This window comes from Homo sapiens, chromosome 1, assembly GCF_000001405.40.
Source record: "Homo sapiens chromosome 1, GRCh38.p14 Primary Assembly".
NCBI classification, from domain to species: domain Eukaryota; kingdom Metazoa; phylum Chordata; class Mammalia; order Primates; family Hominidae; genus Homo; species Homo sapiens.
Window position 1 is genome coordinate 41690197 of NC_000001.11, and position 22057 is coordinate 41712253.

Here is a 22057-nt window from a genome sequence, read left to right on the forward strand (position 1 = left end):
AAAACAGAGAGGAATCAGGTGTTGGGAGGTTGGGGAAGGAGCCCATGCTTCTTCCTGATGGCTGGAGAAAGAAGATGGCATTTGAGCTGAGCCTTGTCTGAGAAACATGGCTGGCTCAAGGGGCAGGGGATGGCTGGGTGTGGCAGGGGCACCCTGGTGGAAGGGTGTGCCTGACAGGAAGTGAGAAAGAAGGGCAGGAGATTGTGGGGACACTGAATGCTGGGCTAGCAATGCCTTCTCTGAGTCCTCAGGCTGGGATGGGGAGCACCCCGCTTCCACGAGCCTGAAGTGCCTGGTGCACCCTTGCCACTGCCTTCAACCTAGACCGGAAGTGCCTTGGGCCAGGAGCCTGGTCAGATCCTCCTGAGCATCTCCAGAGCCCTGTGCCAGGCTTGGGACTGAGTACACTTACATATTGTTGGCTGAAAGCATGGATTCTGGCCCGGCACGGTGGCTTACACCTGTAATCCCAGCACTTTGGGAGGCCGAGGCAGATGGATCACCTGAGGTCGGGAGTTCGAGACCAGCCTGGCCAACATGGTGAAACGCTGTCTCTACTAAAAATACAAAAATTAGCCAGGCATGGTGGTGGGCACCTGTAATCCCAGCTACTCGGGAGGCTGAGGCAGGAGAATCGCTTGAACCCAGGAGGAGGAGGTTGCAATGAGCCGAGATCGCTCCATTGCACTCCAGCCTGGGTGACAAGAGTGAAACTCCATCTCAAAAACAAAAACAAACAAAAAAAAGAAAGCATGGATTTTGGAGCCAGACTTCCTGGGTTCAAATCTGGGCTCTGCCCCTTACTCACTGTGACCTTGGGCAAGTTATCTGACCTCTCTTTGCCTCGGCTATAAAATGGGGATAATACTAGAGTCTATCTCATGGAGCTTCTTGGTGAAAAGACTCCATTACATGAATTAATATATGTCAAGGGCTTAGAAGTCTGTGTGGCACATAGCAAGCAATACATAAAAGTGTTAACTATATTATTCTAAAGAATATGGATTTTTATCTTGAAATGGAGTGCCATCAATAACAAGTTTTCCTTCTAAATTGAAAATAGCTTTATTGCTTTGACTGATCATATCATATGTACCTACTGTAAAAAGTTAAAGCATTATCAGTATAAAGAAGAAGAGAAAAAAATCCTCCCCTTAAATCCTGACTCAGATAACTACTGACATGACCATCTGCTATGGCCTGAATGTATGTATCCCTCCAAAATTCATATGTTGAAATCCTGACCATCAAGGTGATAGTATTAGGAGGTGGGGCCTTTGGGAGGTGATTAGGTTCTGGGGACAGAATCTTCATGAACGGGATTAGTGCCCTTATAAAAGAGGCCAAAGAAAGACTTCTCATCCTCTCTACCATTTGAGAACACAGCAAAAAGGTAACACCTATGAATCAGACAGTAGAGCCTCATCAGATCACGAATCTGCCTTGATCTTGAATTTCCCAGCCTTGAGAACTGTAAGAAATAGATTTCTGTTTTTCTAAGCCACTCAGTTTATGGTATTTTGTTATAGCAGCCTGAATGAATGAAGACACTATCTTTTTAGATACAGTTGATCCTCTTTATTCATAGATTCTGTATTTGCAAATTTATGTACTTGATCAAATTTATTTGTAACCTCCAAATCAATACTTACATTCATAGTCACTTGTGGGTGTGCAGAGTGGTGAATTTTTTTTTTTTTTTTGAGATGGAGTCTCATTGTATCTGTAACCTCCGCCTCCCGGGTTCAAGTGATTCTCCTGCCTCAGCCTTTCGAGTAGCTGGGATTACAGGCCTGCGCCACCATGCCCAGATAATTTTTGTATTTTAGTAGAGACACGGTTTCACCATGTTGGCCAGGCTGGTCTTGAACTCCTGACCTCAAGTGATCCACCTGTCTCAGCCTCCCAAAGTGCTGGGATTACAGGCGCGAGCCACTGCGCCCAGTGTGGTGAAAATTTTGAGTTGCCTAATGTGCGTGTTCCCAGATGAGGCTGAATGAGGCGACCTTCTGCCTTCTAGTTTCAGATCCCATATGGTAAACAAGTGTCCACGAAAAGGACACTATGGACAGTTTTCGCAGTTTTGCACTTTTTGTTTGGTGATTTTACTTTTTCAAATGGCCTCCAAGTACAGTGCTGAAGTGCTTTCTGGTGTTCCCAAGCACAGGGGAGCTACTGTGTGCCTTACAGAGGAAATGCCATGTTAGGTAAGCTTTGTTCAGAGAGGAGTTATAGCGCCACTGGCCCTGAGTTCAATATTAATGAATCAACAATCTATGTTAAATAAGGTATCTTAAAACAGAAATACACATAACACAAGGTTATACACTGATCAGCTGAGAAAAACATTGTAACCAGAGGCTCACAGGAATCTTATGCTGTAGTTCTCCTAGGAGCAACAGTTCAGTATTTGCTAATTCTGTGTTTGTGAGGACTTTATAGAACATAACTACTATGAATAACAAGAATCAGTGACATCTTTCTATATATATGGATGTACGCTTCTGTGCAATTTGGAATGGACGTTCCATACCCTTTTGATACTTTAAAAAATCATGTTAATATGTCAAAGGCATCTTTCCATTTTCATAAATACAGGTCCTCAGATGGCTGCATCACTGTGCACGTCTCTGTAATGAATAACCAGTAGCTCCCTATTGATGGACAATTTGGTTGCTTCCCATTATTTGCTATTACAAACAATACTATGATGAACATCCTTATTGGTAATAATAAAAGAGCTAGCATTTATTCAGCACTTAGTAGGGGCCCAACCCTCTGCTAAGAGTTTTATAAGTGTTATCTCATTTAAGCTTTGCCACAAGCCTATGAAAGTGGTATTATTATGCCCACTTTGCAGATGAGGACTTTGATGCTTAGAGATGTTAAGGAACTTTTCCAGGGCCAGGTGGCTTGAAACAAGGTCTCTCTGATCTCAGACTCCACACTCTTAACTAATGCTCTGCTGCTTTCCTACACACATAAACCTTGGGCACTTTAGGATACTTGTTTAGAAGTGAACTACTGAGTTGAAAGGTGGGGACATTTGAAAGTATCAATATATAATCTCCCCTCCAGAAAATGTGTATCAATTCGTGACCCACTAAACAGTGCTCCAGTGTTCCTGTTTCTCATTCTGCATTTCCCCAAGTATTTTCATTCTTTGAAATGGCCCCCAAAGGACACTTTGATTGTTTAATGTGTCTCCTTTGCCCCTGGGTGATGACTCTTCACATGCTTTGTATCCTCTGTATTTTGTCATTTATGAATTGCTTGTTCATAGCCTCTGCCCATTTTTCCGCTGGCAATTTGTCTTTATCTAATACTTCACTTACAAGAGCTCTTTGGGTATTAGTGCTGCTAACCTTTTACCCATCATGCCTATGTTGAAATACTTTTCTTAGTTTGTTATCATCCTTTAACCTGATTGTTGTGGGGTGGGGTGTTTGCCCATAGGGTTTTTAATTGTTTTCCTTCACAGTTTCTGGATTTGATATTACACGTAAGGAGGCATTCGTCATTCCGGTATGACACAAATATTCCCTCGTTGTCTTTCTTTTAGTATCATTATGGTTTCATGTTTTTTAATCTCCTTGGAATTTATTTTGGTGTAGGAACTGAGGTAGGGAGCCAGTTGTATTCCCTCTCCTCCATACAAATAGCTCGTTGGTTGTCTTTAGAACACATCAGGAATCACCTGCATTTTCATCTCTAATTATCAATGCCATGCATTCACATACCAATCCTCACGTACACTGATATCTACTTCTGGGCTCTCTGTTCCTTGAGCCACAGGTCTATTTCTGTACCAACACTGATTTTTTTTCTAGGCCATTCATCCATGTTTATTTTTCCAGATGTACTTTGTAAACATTTTATGAAAAATTTTTTTTGGGATTTCGAGATTCAATTTTATTTATAGAACAATTTATAATACCTTCTTCAGTTGACTCTTCATAATTTTATGCTTTTATTTCTTTGGAGAATGAAGTCTTTTTCCCTCTATGCTTTCTAACTGCCTTATTTTGGTACCACCTTCTTGATGAAAGCTTTTCTACTCAGCCCTGCAAGAGTCTTTTCTAATCTCTCCCCACTCAGCACTCGGCCTTTTGCATGCCCCACCCGACCTTTTTACCCAAAATTATAATTACTGCTTAGACAGTGAGCTCCTTGAAGGCAGGTTCCTTGCATGGCCTATTTATACATTTCCTACCACACCTGGCAGGTTGTCGGGGCTCTGGAGATATTTGCCGGGTGAATGAATGAATGAACAAGTGAATGAAAGACATCCTCCTGGAAAGCTAATTGTGAAATGAAACAAATCGATTACAAAAACCCTCTTTCATAGGCTTTCATTAGAAAACAAAATATTTGTCCTTGGCTAAATCTCCAAGAACGTGTCAGAATGAGAGAAGTGGCTCACTACTAGACTGCGTGTCATGTGCAACATGCCCCAACACCTGTCCTCAGAGACTGCCATCCTCACCAAGCAACAGGGCACTTCTCAGGCAGGCTCTCAGGCCCTAAAAGGCCTCCAGGAGAAGGAACACAATTATTCACCATGTGCCTGTCGCTGAGCTAGACTTTTACCAATAAGATACAACACCCTGAAAGTTGGGATCACTAGTCTCATTTTGCAAATGAGGAAACTGAGTCTCAGAGAGATGTAACCCTACCTAGTAAGTGGTAGGGCCTGCTGAAGTCAGGGCTGTGGGACTCTAAAAACCTCGCCTCTCCTATAATAACCTCCAGACCACCAGAGTCTGGGAGGTTGAGGGGCTGTGGCCCAGAGGGGAATGCTATACAGAGTCAAAGAGCAAGGGTCCTGCTGTCACTAAACCAAGACAGTCCCTAGAAAACTTGTTTCCCCCAAAGCTGTATGATGCCGCTTCTATAAATCATTCCTAAAGAGCTTGGGTCAAAGAGCTACTGTCAGGCAGGGGGCACATCACACAGGCATTATTGTTGCTATGGGACTGGGGAGTGGAGGTATGGGGGAGGTGGTGGACTCGCCATGGAGGCGGGGTGTTGGTCTCCAGTACCTATCTGGAGATGGCCCTCCAGAGTCCTCCTCCTTGCTTGCCCAGGGGGTTGTGGCTTTTAGACAGCCCTGCAGTTCCATCCTGGGAGTGCTGCCAAGCAGCCACTTCCTTATCAGGCTGGCAGTAGCTGGGCAGGCCTCAGCTTATTTCTAAGTCTGGATTAGAGCTCAGGTTTCTCATGGAGGACCATGGGTTGGGGGCCAATACATTTACTGGACTTGACTTTGTGCCTGGCCCAGTGTAGGCCCCAGGGACATGGGGATGAGCAGCCTACAAGCCTCCTGCTTCATGCAGCTCCATTCCAATCAGGAGGTGAATCACAAGGAAAACCCCCAACCCTGCCCAAGAGCCACAGTAGAGATCTCTAATGCTGAGGGTGCCCAGATTTGGGGGGTCAGCCGGCTGCAGACTGTGGAGGTTGGATGTCAGGTGAGGGCATATGGGCTTCATCCTGTGGGCAGAGAGAAATGCCCTACATTCTGAAGCAAGAGCCTGCCATGGTTAGATTTGTGCTTTAGAAACAGACCAACTAGGTATATTCGTTTTCAATAAACGTGAATTCTTTCTCAGGTGAAAATTAAAGTGTTTCCATTTTGGACAAATAATCCCAACGTAAGGAATCACAGCAGATGGCTATGGGCCTGGATGAGCCACTTACCTATGGGGCTGATGAATGGGAAGAGCCCTGGGCTTGGAGTGAGAGACCCACATCCACGGTCAAGTCCCTGCCACCATCTTGCTGTGTGACCTCCAGCAAATGACTTCCCCATCTCAACCTCGGTTTCCTCATCTATCAGACAGGAATACTGCCACCTAATACACAGGGCCGTCTTCAGGACAAAATGGGGTATCAAATGGCACTGTATATTTGTACCTACTTGACAAATGTGAGGCATGAGGGTGAGACTCCTGAAGACCAGTCCACACCCCTGAGGGCATTTCAGATGCCCCACAGCCTGCAATGTCTTGGGAAGTCTCTCTCAGCTGTTCCAGCTCCAGTCAAAGACTATCCTGTCAAAACATGACCCCATCCAGAGAAGCAATCTCCCGTGTGTTTGGTGGGCCACCTGCCCACGGGGCGCAGCCTGCTGGGCCACGAACATCAACAGCAGCCCCTTCCTGGTGGGAGAAGGAACAGGGAGCTGGCTTGTTCTCTAAGAGCACAGTGCTGGCGGGTGACGAGGCACATTTTAAGGTGGGATGCTTCTTCCTGCACCGTTGGCAGCTGTCTACATAAGGTGCCCATTATGTGCAGGCCCCAAGGCCAGCGGGCCTGAGAGGCCAAGCTAAAATTACTGTCAGATGTGCACCCGCCAGACACACTGAACATCTGAAGGTCAGATGCCTCCAAGCAGCCACCCGGGCAGGAGCGTGGCAGATGGGCACCAAACAGCTGTGGCAGCTGCTGCCTCTTGTTCCTCCCAAGCACAGAGACAGACGGCCCTGTGCAGCAGCCTGGTTCAATAGCCCAGCTTGAGTTAAAAAATAGAATGTAGAGTATAATCCTAATTTAAAAAAAAAAATCTGCGTAACTGCATAGAAAAAAAGGTGGAAGAGGAATTCACTAAATAGCCCAGTCACGGATGTGGAATAGTAGGTGAATTTTTTTTCCTCTACTTTCCAAAATTTTCTCAATACATATGTATTACTTTTGTAATCAGAAGAATACACAATAAGATGCTATGTTATATATTCCTATGAAATATATAAAATGATTAAATGGCATATGCTTTGACATGTGGTATATTTGTGTGTGTGAATACATTTATACGGCTGGCTGGTATTAAAGATCAACATTCTCCAACCCCGCGTTGCACAGAAGAGACGGAGGCCCCAGGAACAAAGCAGGAAGCAGAGAGGCAGATTTTCACTGAGGCTGCTGTTGCACTGGAGTTTCCCCAAGCCTTGCCCCACTTAATTCTGTAGCTGGTTTTATTCCCACTTGATGGAGATGGAAACCGAGGTACAGAGAAGTGAACTGATTCACTCAAAGATGACCAGCTCGGAAGCCATAGAGCCAAATCCCAACCCTAGCTTTCCACCCACAGCGCACTGAGCTTCAAGAAAGGAAAGGCCTTTGAAAAAAGAACAGAACAAAACAACAACAAAAACACCCTGCTCCTTGAAGTCTCAAACATTCAGAAAGCAACTCCTTAAGGGAGTGAGTTTTGAATTATTTCCTGAGCCCCTCCACGTGCACGCCTTTCTTAGCTCTGCGGGGCTCATGGTCATCTTCCCAGAGCTACCCATGGGAACCTTTGAGAGGATGGGTAACAAATCATGATGTGGGGGCACAAAAGGCACAGCAAATCCCAAGGTGGGACTGGCTGGCAGGTGTCAGGCCTTTGGGACAGGGTGAGGGAGAGCGAGTTGGCTGGAGAGGCTGCTGTCTAAACTCTCAGTCTTCCAGTGCTTTGGGAGGGGCAGCACCCCTCTGCAACGCCAGATGCCCTGATCTGAGGCCTTTGCTCCAGCTCTTCCCTCTGCATGAGTGCCATCTCTATCCCCACATGCTGCCCTCAGTCTTCCAGGGCCCAGTTCATCCAGGCATTTGTGCATTCTTATTGGTGAACACATTTTAATTGAGGGCCTGCTAGGTGCTAGAGCAAAAGACATAGTATCAACCCTGTAGGTGCCTCTAGTGCTCAGAGAAAGGCTACCCAGGGTCATTCAAGCATAGACTCTGGGGCCAGACTGTCTAGGCTCACCCTGGCTAAGCCACTTCACAGCCCTGTGTGTTTGGGCCAGTCACAGTCTCTCTGTGCGTCAGTTGTCATCTGTAAAAGAGGATGAAAAGAGCACCTGCCTCACAGACTAGTGCAGGTGGAGTGTACATCTGTGTAAAGCTCTTAGAGAACAGTGCCTGGCATGTAGTAAGTGCTCAATAAACCTCAGTTGCTATAAACATTCTCATCATTACCCTCTGGTGCAGATTCCCTCCTTATGATGCCCACCCTACTTTTGTCCTCTGGCTGGTACCTCCTCTATGGTCCCATAGCACTTTGAACACCCCTCCATGAGAGCACTGATGGGCATGCAGTACAGGTGTCTGAGGACCTGTTCCCTCCTTGTCTCTACCTGGGTAGAGACTAAGTTTATTCATCTCCATCCCAGCACCCAGCACAGATGTTATAACATCACCAGGTTTATGTCAGCATTTGCAGGTAATGTGTGCCTTCAATTCCAGTCGAGAAAAGTCTTAGAGGCATTAGAGGTTGTCTATCTGGCCTTATCATGTAGCTCATCCATGTTGCCCTTGAACTGTGGGGTCTGACCCTGGGTGTGATCTTTCCGATGAGAACCAAGTTGATGAGGGAGCTGTGTGCTAAGCTTCCATGAATGCTTCTCTGTGACAGGGAGTTCTGCTGGGCAGGACATCGAAAACACCAACTACTGACACCCCAACACATCCTGGTGTTTCCCGTGCCATGCCTTTCTCCACTGGGGCCCCATGACCCCACTGCTGATCTAAGAACTCCCATGGATCCTTCGGGTGCCAGTGCTCCTGGCCCCACCCCCCACAATGCTTCTGCTAGCCACAGCCCCCACTGAATGTAGCTCCCTCTCTCCTGGTCTTCTCTTGTTTCTGCCCTGGGCCTGTGGGGCTGCTCCTGCTCTCAGTGTGTGGCTGTTCCTTTGTCTATGTGTCCCTTCTGGAGAAGGGGCAAACTTGCTCTTGTTTGGGCCCCCAGTGTCCACCAATGCCAGGATCAGAGGGGTGTCAGGAAAGCTCTGCTGAGCTCATTTTTCAGAGGAAAGTCAAGCCCGCTGGCCTGACCTCCCATTAAGGCACGCACGCTGACTGATCACACCACCTTCTGAACCCAAAACTCACAGGTGGCTCTAGGCCAGCCCTGCCCATCAGTTGCCACTCACTCCATCGCAGGGCTGAGTCAGCAGGGAAGCCCCGAAAGTAAGTGCTGAGCACGTGGTGCATACCGTGCTGGCCTCTCGCTTGAGCTCTTGCGTTTGACTCTGGCACCGCTGCAGGAGGTGGGTGTTCTATACAGAGAGGCCTTCCTGAGGCTCTGATGGTTCCACCGCTCCTCAAAGGAGGGGCAGGGCAGGGTTGGAGCAAGGCTCTCTTTGGCCCCAGAACCTACTCATTCTACACTCCTGTGAGACGACAGGTGTGTGAAAGTGTTCTGAGTTCTACCAACGGAGGAAACTGTAAAACCATAGAATTGCCAGCTATTACCCACCACACAGAAATCACTCTAGTACAACCTTGCTATCAAGAAGAAGGCTTCAGGGGCCTTGGGAACAGCATTGAATCCTTACAGAATTGCTGCCCAGGAGGGGGTGGCCTATTGTCCTTCAGGGGTAGGAAAGGAGGAGAGTGAGTGGGAACTGGAAGAGCAGAAGAGAAGCAGTCCTGTGGCTGGAGTGGCAGCCCAACGCAGGATGGGGCCCCGGGGACCTGAAAGGATGCAGAGGGATGCTGGAGTCTGTGAGAGCCGAGGCCACAGACACTTCAGCACGGGGTGTCCTGCCCTGGGCCCCTATTGAGGTTCTGTAGATTCTGACATGTGCACCTCCTCTCATCTCGGCCTCCCCACCACTTTCCTCCCCACCCTCCCACACCCCGGTAGGGGCCTCTCTCAGAACCACAGGGCTGACTGTCTCCCTTCCCTGCTTGTGTAGGACCCAGCCTGAGCTCCTGGGTGACCAGAGTCCTGCCGCTCTCTTGGCCTCACTCCCATACTCCTCCTCTTGGGCCCTGCATCCCAGCGACTCCACTGCTCCACTTGCTGTCCCTTGGGCTCAGAATGCTCTTCTTCCATTTTTCACCCGGTGAACTTCTATTCATCCTTCAAAGCCCAGTTCAAGCGTCAACTTTAAATTGTCTTCCTTGAACTACCCCCACAACCAAACCCCGACAGAATAGAGCCCTCCTGCCTTCACAGGTTTTGCTGTTCTGTGGCTATTTGCACATCGATCTCCTCCACTGGAGCAGAAGCTTCTTGAGGATAATGCCATGATTTGTTCATCTCTGTGCCTCAGTGCCCAGCACAGAGGATAGAGCACAACAGGCAATAAATGATGTCCTGATGACGAGGTCATGAGAGGGCAGGCATGGGGCTGGTGATTGCATCTGAGTTTGACTTCCAGCAGCATTTACTAGGAGAAATACAGGCCCCCTCCCCAAAATGCACACGTACACATATAAGGTGAACACACAGCTCAGTCCAGGATCTCTGTGGCTGTAAAGTCCATGGAGCAATCAAACAGGAGACTGAGTTCTAAGGATGTGGTACACAGCTGCAGTGTCAGCCCCACTGTCCTCCCCAGAGCCCAGGGCCTTGGCTTGAGCCCTGCTGGGTTCACCGAGTCCCACTCCCTCACTTTGCAGACAAGGAAACAGAGACCCAGAAAGGAGATGCTTGCTTAAGATTTTCCTGAGCAATAAAGGCAGGCCTGGGGTCAGAAGCATTTCCCTTGGCTCCTGGCCCAGGACTCTCCCATCACCATATGCTGCCATTTGCAGAAATGCCAGCTGCAGGACTCGTGACATTTGGGTGGCTTTTTCCTAAAGTGTCGGTAGCGTGTGGGGCTCCATTCTCCTGCCCGAGGCTAAGGTCATTCCTGTCTACCTCCTGGCCTCAAAACACAGCCTAATGGCCTTTGGGCTGTGCTGAAACTGCCCTGTGTCCTGTGGGGGATGGGGAGGGCTCACCTGCCAAAAACCAGCCGTGGTCTCATGGTCAAGATGTGTCAGAGATTTCTAGAGCTTGGAGAACTGTGTTGGAGGGAGGCCTGTGGGAAGTAGAGAAAGTGAGAATATTATGCCACCGCCATCTGTCAACTTTCATCTGAGTTTGAAAAAGGCACCCAAAAATGGTGAGCACAGCCTTGCTGAAAGCAAAGCCCCGGCCACTACCCCTTCTCTAACATGGTTATGACGAGGTCAAGATCAGGTCCCTGCGGATGAAACCACAGCCTCAAAACCCCAGTACAGAGCTGCAAGTCACAAGTTGTCTGCCCTGAGGAACCCCACAGGTATGCTGGTCCTGTACTCAGGCCTAAGGCTGGAGGAACTCCCACTTCCAAACACTCCTCGGGGAAAACACCCTTTGTGGGTTCCCTAAGCACTGCTCATTGTAATTCACTCATTCTTGCTTTCATTATTCATTCATTCATGCAAGCATTCAACAGCCATTTGGGAAATTGTTAGGTGTTGGTATCAGGTCCTCATAGAGATGAAGTCTCTGAGTGTGACAGCCTAGATCCAGTAAGAAAGGCGTGTGTAGACCCAGGACAAATGCCACAGGCTGGTGGGTTGCCTCCCTTCTCCAAGTGACCTCTGTGCCAGGTGCTGGGCAAAGCACTTTGGTTAAGCTGTGCAGGATGGCAGAATGTTTCTACCATTTTCGGTACAAGGACCTCTCTTTGTATGAAATTATTTCTCCAAACTCCTGATGGTAACTGTATACCTATTATCTTCTCATTGAGAAAATAAACAATACAAAAGTTACAATGAACTAATGCTTTACAATTAACTTGTATTTTAGTAATTATAGCACCACTACATATATTTAAATTAAGGTTGGACACATACTCATTTGAGACATATTATTTATGTCTTCTAGGCTTAAGGCTTTGAGCCCTTGGGGATCCATTCATTCAATATTCATTCATTCAACAGACATTTATGGAGCATCTCTGAGATGCCCAGCCCTCTGGCTCAAAGATTAGGGATCCTGGTTCAAGAAGGAGCTCCAGCTCTGCAGTGAGGTACACTTAAGCTTAAGCCCAGGTAACACTGGATGTGTGCCCTTAGGGAGGCCATCTGGTCTTCTTCCAGCTCTGAGTCCTCAAGAGTAAGATGGAGATGTAATCCTGACATTGGAAAGTTGTTACGAGGAGTAAATGAGATAGTAGAAAGCATCCAGGTAAGGGCCTGGCACCAAGCAGAAGCTCAACAAATGGGCACCCGAGGATTATCATCATCACCATCATCCCCACCAACATCAACATCATTACTATCAACAACAGCAGCAGCAGCAGCACCACCACCATCTTGCTTCCCTTCTCTTACTGAACCTTGAGAAGCCTTTCCTTGTCCCTCTACTAGGGTATACAGTAGTTTCTACCTTATAATAGAGTTATTTGTATCCACACTTAAAATACCTTATAATAGAGTTATTTGTATCCACATTTTCTTTCTTTGGTTCATGCCCAGCTCTGTAATTTCAGAGTTGCGTGAACTTAGGTAAGTTATTTAACCTCTCTGAATTTGTTTCCCTGTATGTAAAATGGGAACTGTATTTTTAGTAATTCATTGAATTGTAATGACTAAATGAACTGATGTACATAAAACCTCAACACAATATCTGTCATGTGGTAAATGCTCAGATATTGCAGGTCATTATTATTCATGTTATTGTTATTATTATTAACATTAGTATTAATACAATTTCTCCTCCTGGCCTGTGAGCCCCTAGGGGCATAGTCCATTGAAAATTCATTTCTGTCTCCCCACAGAGTCTAGCACAAGGCCGGTCTCCCAGCAGATATTAATAAATGATTGCTAAAACAGTCTTGGAGGTTCACACAAATCAAGTGCAAAATAACTCAAAGGGCATGGTCAAGGGTAAAGAGCCTTGTCAGGACCCTGAAAAACCCCAACAGATGTCCTGAAGGGAGTTTTTTGTCACCCATGGAGCCAGGCTGCAGGACTGCTAGGACCATTCATTCATTCATTCGTTTATTCATCACACTGACACCCAATTTTCACTTTGGTTGACTAACAAACCCTTGCCCGGTGCTTTTTCCTATTGTGAAATCTCGTTTCCATCTGCTACCTCATTTAGTCTCCACGAAAATTTTGAGAAGAAGATAGAATAGGTACATTACTGACAATCCATTCTGTAAATAGATGAAGGCCCAGAGAGGTGACAAGGCTTGACAAAGGACATACAGCTGTCAAGGCCACAGTGGGAAACGGACCAAGGCTCTGCTCATGATCTTGACTCCTTCCTGCTGGCACTTTCCAAATCCAGGATCATTCATTCTTGATTCTCATTGTCCAGTTTGCTTCTCAGCAAATAAAACTGAATTAAATTATTTTTGGTGTTATTTTAACATGACTGTTGGAAAAGAAAGACTCTAAATTCCATAAGGGCAGAGACTATGAGAGCCCTAACAGTGTGGGGGCAGGTAAATGTATGAACTCTGATCCCAGACTGCATGCGTCCGAATCCTGATTCTGATACTTAATAGCTGTGGGACCTTGGGCAAATTACTTAACCTCTCTGTGCTTCAATTTCTTCCTCTATAAAAAAAGGATAATAATAGCTATCTATAGGGTTGTTGTGAGGATTAAGTGATCCAATCCGTGTACAATCCCTAGAACAGTACCTGGTGCATAGTAAGGGTTAGTTGTAATTATTATTTGTATTATTATTTGTGACGTATCTCCTGCACCTAGCATAAGACCCAACACATAAAAAATCCCTAATAAATATTTATTGGATTGTTGAATGGATAAAATACTTTCTGTAAAGAAGTAAGTATCTATGCTTTAAGTATTATTAAATATCTATGCTTAAGTATTATTGAGCAAGGCAAAAGAATAGCTGAAGCTCTGGCCCCAAAGAAGCTGGAGTCCCCCAGTTCCTTGCTCACAGATCTAGGCGGGAGGAGATTCGTGATTCCAGGATTCAAAGGCCTGTCCACCAACTGGCAGTAAATGTGACTCATGGTTAGGAACACAGGTTTTAGAGTCAGACACTTAAATTCAAGTCCTCACTCTTGTTCTGTCACTCACTAGTTGTATACTTACCTCCTGTACTTGCCTCAGTACCCTCATCTGTAAAATGGGAATACTCACACCTACCTTGAAGGGATGTTGGGTGGATTAAATGTCATATGCAGGAGGTGAAGCTTCCTGCACCTGGGCCCAGTCCACAGCCACAGTAACAATGAGCTTACAGGATCAACAGCAGCTCATCCTATGGGCCAACTTGTTCTGTGCTAAGCATCGCTTCCACCGCTTTCTCCCTCACATGGGATTTGGGGGCCTTCACCAGGGATGGACTCATTTGCATAGCCCAGGCTCCACCTTCTAGGCCAAAAGGCTGCTATGAAAAGGCACATTCTCTATTTGGCTTCAGCATGAACTGGGCTCTGTGGAGGCGAGACAGCTGCTTAGGAAATGGGCTCCTGGGAAAGGTGGTCTCCAGAGAATCAGCTTAGAGAATTCCTTGCAAGCGCCAGTGCCAGCAACTAGCAGCCTGTATGCAGCTGCCTCTGAGTCAGTCCCAGTCCCTGTGGTGGCTACAGACCCTTCCTTTACTCTGTTTCTCCCACTAAGACCCCAAGGCTGGCAGCCTGTCCTGCTTATGGGAAGGAGCTAACATCCATTGAGCCAGAAGCTTTAATTCTTTGCCTCGTTTAGACTTCACAATGAGTCTGCAGTGGGCACTTGAATCTTGCCACATACCAGCCATGAGACCCTGGGCAAACCATTCAGCTGCCCATGTCTGTTTCCTTAACTATGAGCACATGTCAATATCCTTGTACACTAGACCCATTTTGCAGAAAAGGAAGCTGAACCATAGAGAGGGAAAGGCATTGTCAAGATCATAGAACTAATAAATGACAAAGCTGGAGCTGTTTGACTTCAAAGTTCCATGCATTCATTCATCCATCAATTATTATTTTAGAGCCTACCTTATGGTGGGCACTGGCTCCATAGACTGTTTTTAAAAATATCTGTATTATCAATTTCCCACTGCTCCTAAGATACCAGTATGCAAGGCAATTCAATTTAACAAAGACATCAAGTCCTTCTATGTGCCCAGGCACTGTGCGAGGTTCTGGTATAAAGGATCACATTGAACCCTCATGACAATCCTGTGCAGTTGACCTTTTTATGCCCTTTACAGAGGACAAAATGGGTAATTCAAAGAGGCAAGAGAACGTGTCCAGGCTCACTCACGGAGCCTGGATGGACGCCTATGCCCATGTGATGCCAAAACTCACTTCTTTCCCTTCCCACCATGTTTCTTTCTCTACGCTCTCATCTCCCCACCCTGGCCTGGCCTGCAATGATGCAGCCTCTGGAAGTTCCATCAGTATCCCTGGCAGAGGGTGTTCTCCATCCAGCAGAGAAGGACAGCTGTCAGCCCTACCAGCCTGTGCCATCCACACTGGATCTTCAGGACTCTGCTTCTCCCTGGCTCCTTCCACTCCCTGAACTTGACCCCAGGATGACAGACCTATAAAACCCAGAAACATGTTTGCTTGTATCTTGCCTACTTCCAAAAAGGATGTGAGGAAGGTTAAGGAACAAAAGTGCAGACCGAGGCTCAAAACACTGGACAAAAGCAAAATCCAGATGTAAAAGAGCAGGGGGTGCTGGAAGCAAATGTTTTGAAGGACACTGCCCGGCGCTCACAGGGTGTGAGGAAATGGGTGCTCTCACATCGCTGCTGGTAGTGAAAATAGACAGAATGCTTTTGAAAGGCAACTTCAGAGCGTGCATCAAGAACTTTGCCTCACAAATATCCACACTTCTGGGTGTAGTCATCCCAATTCCCAGAAAGACAGTCTAAGAAAAAAAATTCTAAGCAAGTTCCATGCAGTCTTACTTCTAATACTGAGGCATTGAATACCGACAGCAAATCTAAGTGCTAACACAGGGAAAGGGCTAACACACCATTGAAAACTAGGGTACAGCTATATCAAGGGTTGATAGCCTGCAGTACAAATCCAACTGGTAGCCTGTTTTTGTAAATAAAGTTTTATTGGGACACAACCATGCAAACACATGGAAAGGGTTAACCTACCATTGAAAACTAGGGTACAGCTATATCAGAGGTTGACAGCCTGCAGGACAAATCAGGGTACATGTGCAAGTTTGTTACATGGGTATATTTTGTGATGCTGAGGTTTGGGCTTCAAATGATCTCATTGCCCAAGTGTGAACATAGTACACTATAGGTAGTTTTTCAACCCTTACCCCCTTTCCTCCCTGTCCCCTTTTAGGATTCCCAGTGTTTATTGTTCTCATCGTTGTGTCCGAATACATGTGTTTTATTTTTATTTATTTACTTATTTTTTTTGAGACGGAGTCTTGCTCTGTTGTTCAAGCTGAAGTGTGATCTCAGTTCACTGCAACCTCTGCCTCCCAGGTTCAAGAAATTTTCCTGCCTCAGCCTCCCTAATAGCTGGGATTACATGTGTGCACCACCACACCTCGCTAATTTTTGTATTTTTAGTAGAAGCGGGGTTTCAGCATGTTGGCCAGGCTGGCCTTGAACTCCTGACCTCAGGTGATCCACCCACCTTGGCCTTCCAAAGTGCTGGGATTACAGGCGTAAGCCACCGTGCCAGGCTGGAATACATGTATTTTAAAAAGAGAGATAACTAGCTGAATATGCTCTGGGCGTATTAGTGGCCACAGTAAAGAGTGAAGATGGGTTTTAATTGTCTGGCAGTAGGAGGGGACCAGGAAACCAGGAAAGTCAAACTCTCCTGGCCCAGATTTTGGAGAGGAATTAGTCACCAGGGTCTTTGTTTCAAGGAGTTTCTGAGCAACACAATGGACAACTTTCTCTACTGTTCCGCCGATGTTCTGAGGTGTTGCCCACATAGACAGCAAGTCCTGGTTATTGGTCCTCTAACAATGTCAAAGAAAGAATGTTAAGCTATCGTTCTATAAAGGCAATTCACTCAGTGGTCAGGGTGATATAGGAGTTCAGTTCAAATAAAATATTGCAGAATCTTCTAGAAAAAAGCATCATCATATCTAGCTGACCAGTGAGTTTTAGCCAGAGAATATTTTCTTTGAAAATAACCCTTAAATTGCAGATCAGCATGTAAGACAGATAAAGGCAGGGTACTCTGGTGGAAGCTGTGCTGGGTATATTTCATGCTGCTCCCCTCAGCTCCCCCGGGGCTGCCCCTTGAAGGGGTTCTGCAGGACCTCTGGGGCTTCTTAGAGCCCAGCTGGTGAACTGCTACATTAGACCATCCCCAGGGCACCTGCTGCATCCCTGGTCTTTTGCCAAGTCGAGGGCACTGGCAGGAGAAGCAGAGGATACTCTGCTACCCACAGAAGGCAGAACCATGTCCTCTAGAAACCAGAACTACCACGAGGGCAATGACAAGATTTCGTTGTGAAAATTAAAAAGTGCGACTTATGATTATGCTTCCATGGAGGGCCTTGGGTGGGGCAAGAAAGGACTTACCCTCTCTCGGATGGCAGTTCTGGAGCAGTTTCAAAGTCTCTTAAAGGGCCAAGGCTGAGGCCCAAGTCCCCGTACTGGGAAGGGTGAGGAGGGTCTCTGGCGGGTGGATATGCCTAGAGGACAAATGTGTGAACCAAGGTTTTTGATCCATTTTCATTCCAAGAGGGAAGAACAAGAAGCCTATTGGGAGTTGGGTGTAGATGGTACAGTGAAGTCACTAAGAGGGGGATCTTGGGTCAGATTTGAATCCTGCTCTGCTACTTATTAGCTGTGCCCATGAGAAAGTTACTGACTCTTTCTAAACCTCAGTTTCCTCATCTGTAGAAAAGGAAAATGAAAGCCATATATGATAGAGTTGTGGGAAGAATAAAATGATTTACTGCATGCCAAGTGCTTAGCACCTTACCTGCCCTAATGAATACATGCTCAATAACGGTTTGCTATCTGCAGCAATAGACCTGGCCAAGCCGAACCCTGGCCTGTCAGGAGTCAGTAAGCCTGGGGTTTGACCTTCAATTCATGTGGGCTTGAAGAAAGATTCAGGGATGTTCCGGGGCTGACACCAGTTTCCTGTAGCTGATGAGCAGAAGACTTGTTAGAATTTCTAGAGTGACTGGGAGATGCCAGGAGGGGCCATCCCCCAGGTGAGTGCACAGGGAGCCTCTAGAAGGATTCGATAGAATCCTCTGCCCTATCAGGGTGACATTAGGGAGGGACTACCTTTGTGGGGACCTGAGAGAGTGCTTCATGTACCTTCTGCTCTGAGTGACCAGCCCCATGCAGTTGAGATTGTACATCGTTTACCTCCACATGGGAAGGCATGCCAGTCAATCTCTGCTCTGTCTCTGGGTCAAGCATCATGTGCTACCGTGGTGGGCATTTGTTGACTTTTGCCCACTTGGCACCCCTTCTCCCCACTTTGGCAATAGCATTCTGATTTCATTTGGGGAAATCAGCTCTCCTGGTCTTGGTGGACAGTAAATCAGGGCTTCCTGCTTTCTCACAACCAAGGGGAGGGCATGAGCCTAAGCCAGGCATCTCAGATGCTCTTTGCCAGGCCCTGACTCTGCGAGCTCATTCTTCCATCTCTGTGGCCATGACAAGACCACTTCTGATTAGTTCCTGTTTTCTGGTCCCTGGAGGGGCCCTGGATCCTTTTCTGAGTCTGCTTCTTCAGCCTTCCTGTCAATTCCGTAAGATTCTCATTATCCTTCTGATATATTCCCTCTTTGCTTAAGTTATCTCAAGTCAGCTTCTGTTGCTTACACTGAAGAGCCCTAATGGTTTCTGAGAGGAACAAGTCAAATGGCTTCCTTTGGCACAAAAAGCTATGACCAGGAGCTCTGGCACCAAAACTGCAAACAAGAAAACTTCAAGTCAAGTACTAGAAGCAACCTAGTAGCCATGTCATCCCCCATGTCTTCTCTGCTGTTGGAGGCTGCTTTTATTGGGGTGAGCTCAGAACTGAATGAAACTCCATTCCATTTTCCAGTGATTGGCTCATATGACTCAGTTCTGGTCAGCGGGGTAAATTACTCCCATTTTAGAGTTAAGGGAAGCCTTTCTCAGGGGTTCTGGGAAAGAGTTTCTTTGCTAATAAAAAGAGAATCTGGGGAAGATGTTCCTCTTCTGCACCCCCTACCACCACATGGCATATGGCCCTGGACTGTGCCAGCTACCCATGGCCTTGGGTCATGACACTGCAGCTATGGAGGTGAGGCTGGCCAACGGGGAAGCTGGAACATGCCTGGATTCTGGATTTCTGGGCTGTACGTTTTTCAGCTTTTGAACCACTCCTACCTCCACTCTTTGGAGTGAAACCCCTATTGTGTAAGTCCCTTGTAGTTAGCTTTCTGTTACCTGCAGCCCAAAGCCTCCTAACAGCCAAGCGAGCTTTAAACCTGGGAATGGGCACCCCAGCAGCAGGCCAGGACAGCTGCATCCGGGTCATGTCAGGTGGAAGCCCAGAGAAAGGAGCATCCAGTGAGTGGGGCAGACCTGTGGTGGATCCAAGCAGGGCCATTCACGGGTGGGACAGAGGCAGCCTCCAGGCAGTAGCAATCTCTGAGGTCAGAAGAAAGGCAGTGTCATTTCCTGACGATCTTCCTTGTTTAGGGCAGGAAACCAGCCTATAGCTTGAGGACATGGAGAACAGAACCAAGCCCCAAGTGGGGTTTGGGTGGAATGGTGATCGCCAGTCAGGGGCTCACTGAGGACTGGAGTTCATGTGGGGCTCTGGCTTTGTAGATAATTGGAGTCTTAGGCAGGGAAATTGAGGCAGAAAGAGGCAAATCCAGTTATGCTGAGTCACTGACACGGCAAAGTTTAGGCGAGGGTGCAGCTCAGTAACCCCCGCCCTCCACTGCCATCCATAGGAATGCCAGATGCAGAGTTCAGGGCAATGGGGTCAATTGCAGCTTCTGCTGGCCCACTGGGAACTAAGATTCTGCTGGCTTTAGCCAGGTTCAGCTCAGGTGATGAATAGGCATTTTGGAGGGACGTGTCTGGAGTGGGGCAGGGGGAGGTAGGGACTTTCGGTTAAGAACCCACTTCCACCAGCAGCTGAGAAAGCCCTAGGGAAGTTTCTAGCTGTGCCAATCTGAGTCAACATGCAAGCAACCCTAATGCCCGAAGAGAGCTCTACTCAAGTTCAAGGCAGAGTGTTGGTCCAGCACTCTGCCCTCCATCCCATTCTTCGTGCATCAGCCAGGGGATTTGTCACTTCCTCCTGCCACATTTCTCATCTGCACACTCTGCCTCTTCAGAGCTCCCACCTCCCCTCTCCTAGCATGGAGCAAAACCCCAAAATAGTCCCTGGGGGTCATCTGCAGGGCTAGAAAGATTCTAAAAGTGTACCCTCTTCATGTGACCAAAAGGAAAACAGAAGCACAGAGAAGAGCAAGGGTGTTCTGTCATCCTGCTGTGTGACCCAGGGCAGCCAACACCATTTCTAAGGTCGCGCCAGCTCTGACATCCCATGGCTTTGCTTCAAAAGGACAAGCACATGTGAAGTGGTCAATGAATTCTTCAGAGCCTTATGGAATGGCTCTAACTCTAAGCCCTCAGTGAGGGTCTGACTATCCTCTCCCCCATCTCTTCTCTTCCAATGGCTGGTCCCCTGCGCCAACTGGCCAGCACAGTCCTACTCCTTGCTCTCAGCCCAGTCCTCCCTCTCACAATGAGGCGCATCTAAAGAGCCCCCGCCCAGGCTTCCCTGCCCTAATACTGTGTCCTGTGTCTAGAAACTATGTGTCTGTCTCGTTCCCAAGGCCAAGCACCCACCTTATTCCTGGGCACTGGTGCTGTGTCCTGCCGTGGCCTCACACCCCAAGCCTGACTCCCCAATCCCTGTGGCCGTGCAGCAGTGGTCACCATAGGATGGCGGCTGATCATAGCTTCTTAAGGACCTGATTCCTGCTAGGTTCTCAGCTAAGAATTTGACATGGATTACTCCACTGACTCCCCAAAGAGGGCCTTATCGTATAGTCACCATCGCTACTCTCACTTTACAGATAAGGAAGCTGAAGACCGGAGAAATCAACCAGCTTGCTGAAGGTTGCTTGGCTGGTAAGCGGTAGTGCCTCGAAGATGTCCCTGAGTCAGCCCTTTTCTCTGGACTCTCCGCTCTGCTGCGGGCCTAGACTGCAGTCCCCACTGCCACCCACCGGGCTGGCCTTCTAGTGCCCTCCCTTCCCTTTGCGCACTATTGGTCACAAGTTCCTGGCTTCTCTCAATTAGTAGCCCCAGGCCTATGCCTGGCCATGATATCTCCTTCAGAGAGGGGTGAGATTTGACAGGACCCAGAAGAACAGGCAGAGGGTACGGGGAGGCCAGGAAGAGGCCAGAAATCAAGGCTGGTGATTTGCAAATGCAGAGCCCATGGCAGCATCCATGGCGTCTACTGGTTCCCTCTCCAGCTCGCTCACTGGCAGTTGCTGGGCTATAGCTTCATGGGCTGATGGTGGCCGAGCACCACCACCACCCAGCAGACACTAAGGAGCACGGTGAAAAAGCCTGGGCTTTGGGGCCAGACAGTCCTGTGTTCAGATCCCAGCTCTGTCCCTTAGAAGCTCTGCAAGTTTGAGGAAGTTCCATGGGAAGGTGATCTCTTTGAGCCTTAGACTTCCAAGCAATAAAATGGGGTTGATAACACCGATCCTGCATAGCCTTTGTGAAGACATATGAAAAGCATTTGTCAAATGCCCGGCTTTCGGTAAAAGCTGGTTCCCTTTTATGCCTTCTCCTCGTCCTTCCTGCTACCCCTTGGAGCTGGCTGTCTCCCGATGCCAGAGACAGGCTCTCTGTGTTGAGCGGCCCGAGTGGTTCCAACGATGCCCACCACGTGGCTGGCAGGGGCCCGAGCACACTCGGCACACTGGAGATAAATACAGGGTCCAGGCACCTGACTCTAAACAATGGGCTATTCTGGGGTTTTAATTGCTCATAAAAGGGAAGGCAGGCTCTGGGCGGTGACCAACCTTGGAGGTCAGGACATGCATTGGGGTGGCAAACAGGGCAGCAAACACACCAAGGTGCAGGTGCAGAAACGCCAGCCAGCAGGTCGCTAATCCCAGAATGTCACTGAGGGAGGGTGGCTAACAAGCCTCTAGGATGATTACCCTCTCAGTGTACAAATGGGGAAACTGAGGTCCGGGGAGGAGAGCACTTTATTCTACTGCTTCAACAAGTACTCATCAAGCACCTGCTCCAGGCTGTGCTCCGTGCTCTGCCTCAGCATTTCACTGCGTGAAGCAGAGACAGATTCGACACATGCAGTTACAGTGCCCTGCGACAAGTGGCAGGAGAAGCAGGAACAGG

The 22057-nt window shown here is 47.7% G+C and overlaps 1 protein-coding gene across 2 annotated transcripts in view, besides 7 other annotated features; it reads right to left on the reverse strand.

The window, feature by feature from the left end:
* HIVEP3 (HIVEP zinc finger 3) overlaps window positions 1–22057 on the reverse strand; it is a 529570-nt gene that overhangs the window by 183832 nt on the left and 323681 nt on the right. Inside the window, exon 2 of one of the 2 annotated variants that reach the window (NM_024503.5) lies at window positions 10720–10799. The exons of the other annotated variant lie outside the window; for it this stretch is intronic. The gene's annotated coding sequence lies outside the window, so the exon portion shown is untranslated. The remainder of the gene's footprint in view (window positions 1–10719; window positions 10800–22057) is intronic. 2 annotated transcript variants of the gene reach the window in all.
* Window positions 350–850: an enhancer, noted in NCBI's record as "H3K4me1 hESC enhancer chr1:42156217-42156717 (GRCh37/hg19 assembly coordinates)". NCBI's record gives its function as "activates a minimal SCP1, AML or CMV promoter by ChIP-STARR-seq in primed H9 embryonic stem cells {active_cell/tissue: H9 hESC(primed)}" and the evidence as "EXISTENCE:reporter gene assay evidence [ECO:0000049][PMID:30033119]".
* Window positions 8719–8798: an enhancer, noted in NCBI's record as "active region_872". NCBI's record gives its function as "activates an Ori minimal core promoter by ATAC-STARR-seq in GM12878 lymphoblastoid cells {active_cell/tissue: GM12878}" and the evidence as "EXISTENCE:reporter gene assay evidence [ECO:0000049][PMID:35858748]".
* Window positions 8879–9098: an enhancer, noted in NCBI's record as "active region_873". NCBI's record gives its function as "activates an Ori minimal core promoter by ATAC-STARR-seq in GM12878 lymphoblastoid cells {active_cell/tissue: GM12878}" and the evidence as "EXISTENCE:reporter gene assay evidence [ECO:0000049][PMID:35858748]".
* Window positions 9119–9168: an enhancer, noted in NCBI's record as "active region_874". NCBI's record gives its function as "activates an Ori minimal core promoter by ATAC-STARR-seq in GM12878 lymphoblastoid cells {active_cell/tissue: GM12878}" and the evidence as "EXISTENCE:reporter gene assay evidence [ECO:0000049][PMID:35858748]".
* Window positions 9189–9238: an enhancer, noted in NCBI's record as "active region_875". NCBI's record gives its function as "activates an Ori minimal core promoter by ATAC-STARR-seq in GM12878 lymphoblastoid cells {active_cell/tissue: GM12878}" and the evidence as "EXISTENCE:reporter gene assay evidence [ECO:0000049][PMID:35858748]".
* Window positions 9479–9538: a silencer, noted in NCBI's record as "silent region_752". NCBI's record gives its function as "represses an Ori minimal core promoter by ATAC-STARR-seq in GM12878 lymphoblastoid cells {active_cell/tissue: GM12878}" and the evidence as "EXISTENCE:reporter gene assay evidence [ECO:0000049][PMID:35858748]".
* Window positions 9549–9618: a silencer, noted in NCBI's record as "silent region_753". NCBI's record gives its function as "represses an Ori minimal core promoter by ATAC-STARR-seq in GM12878 lymphoblastoid cells {active_cell/tissue: GM12878}" and the evidence as "EXISTENCE:reporter gene assay evidence [ECO:0000049][PMID:35858748]".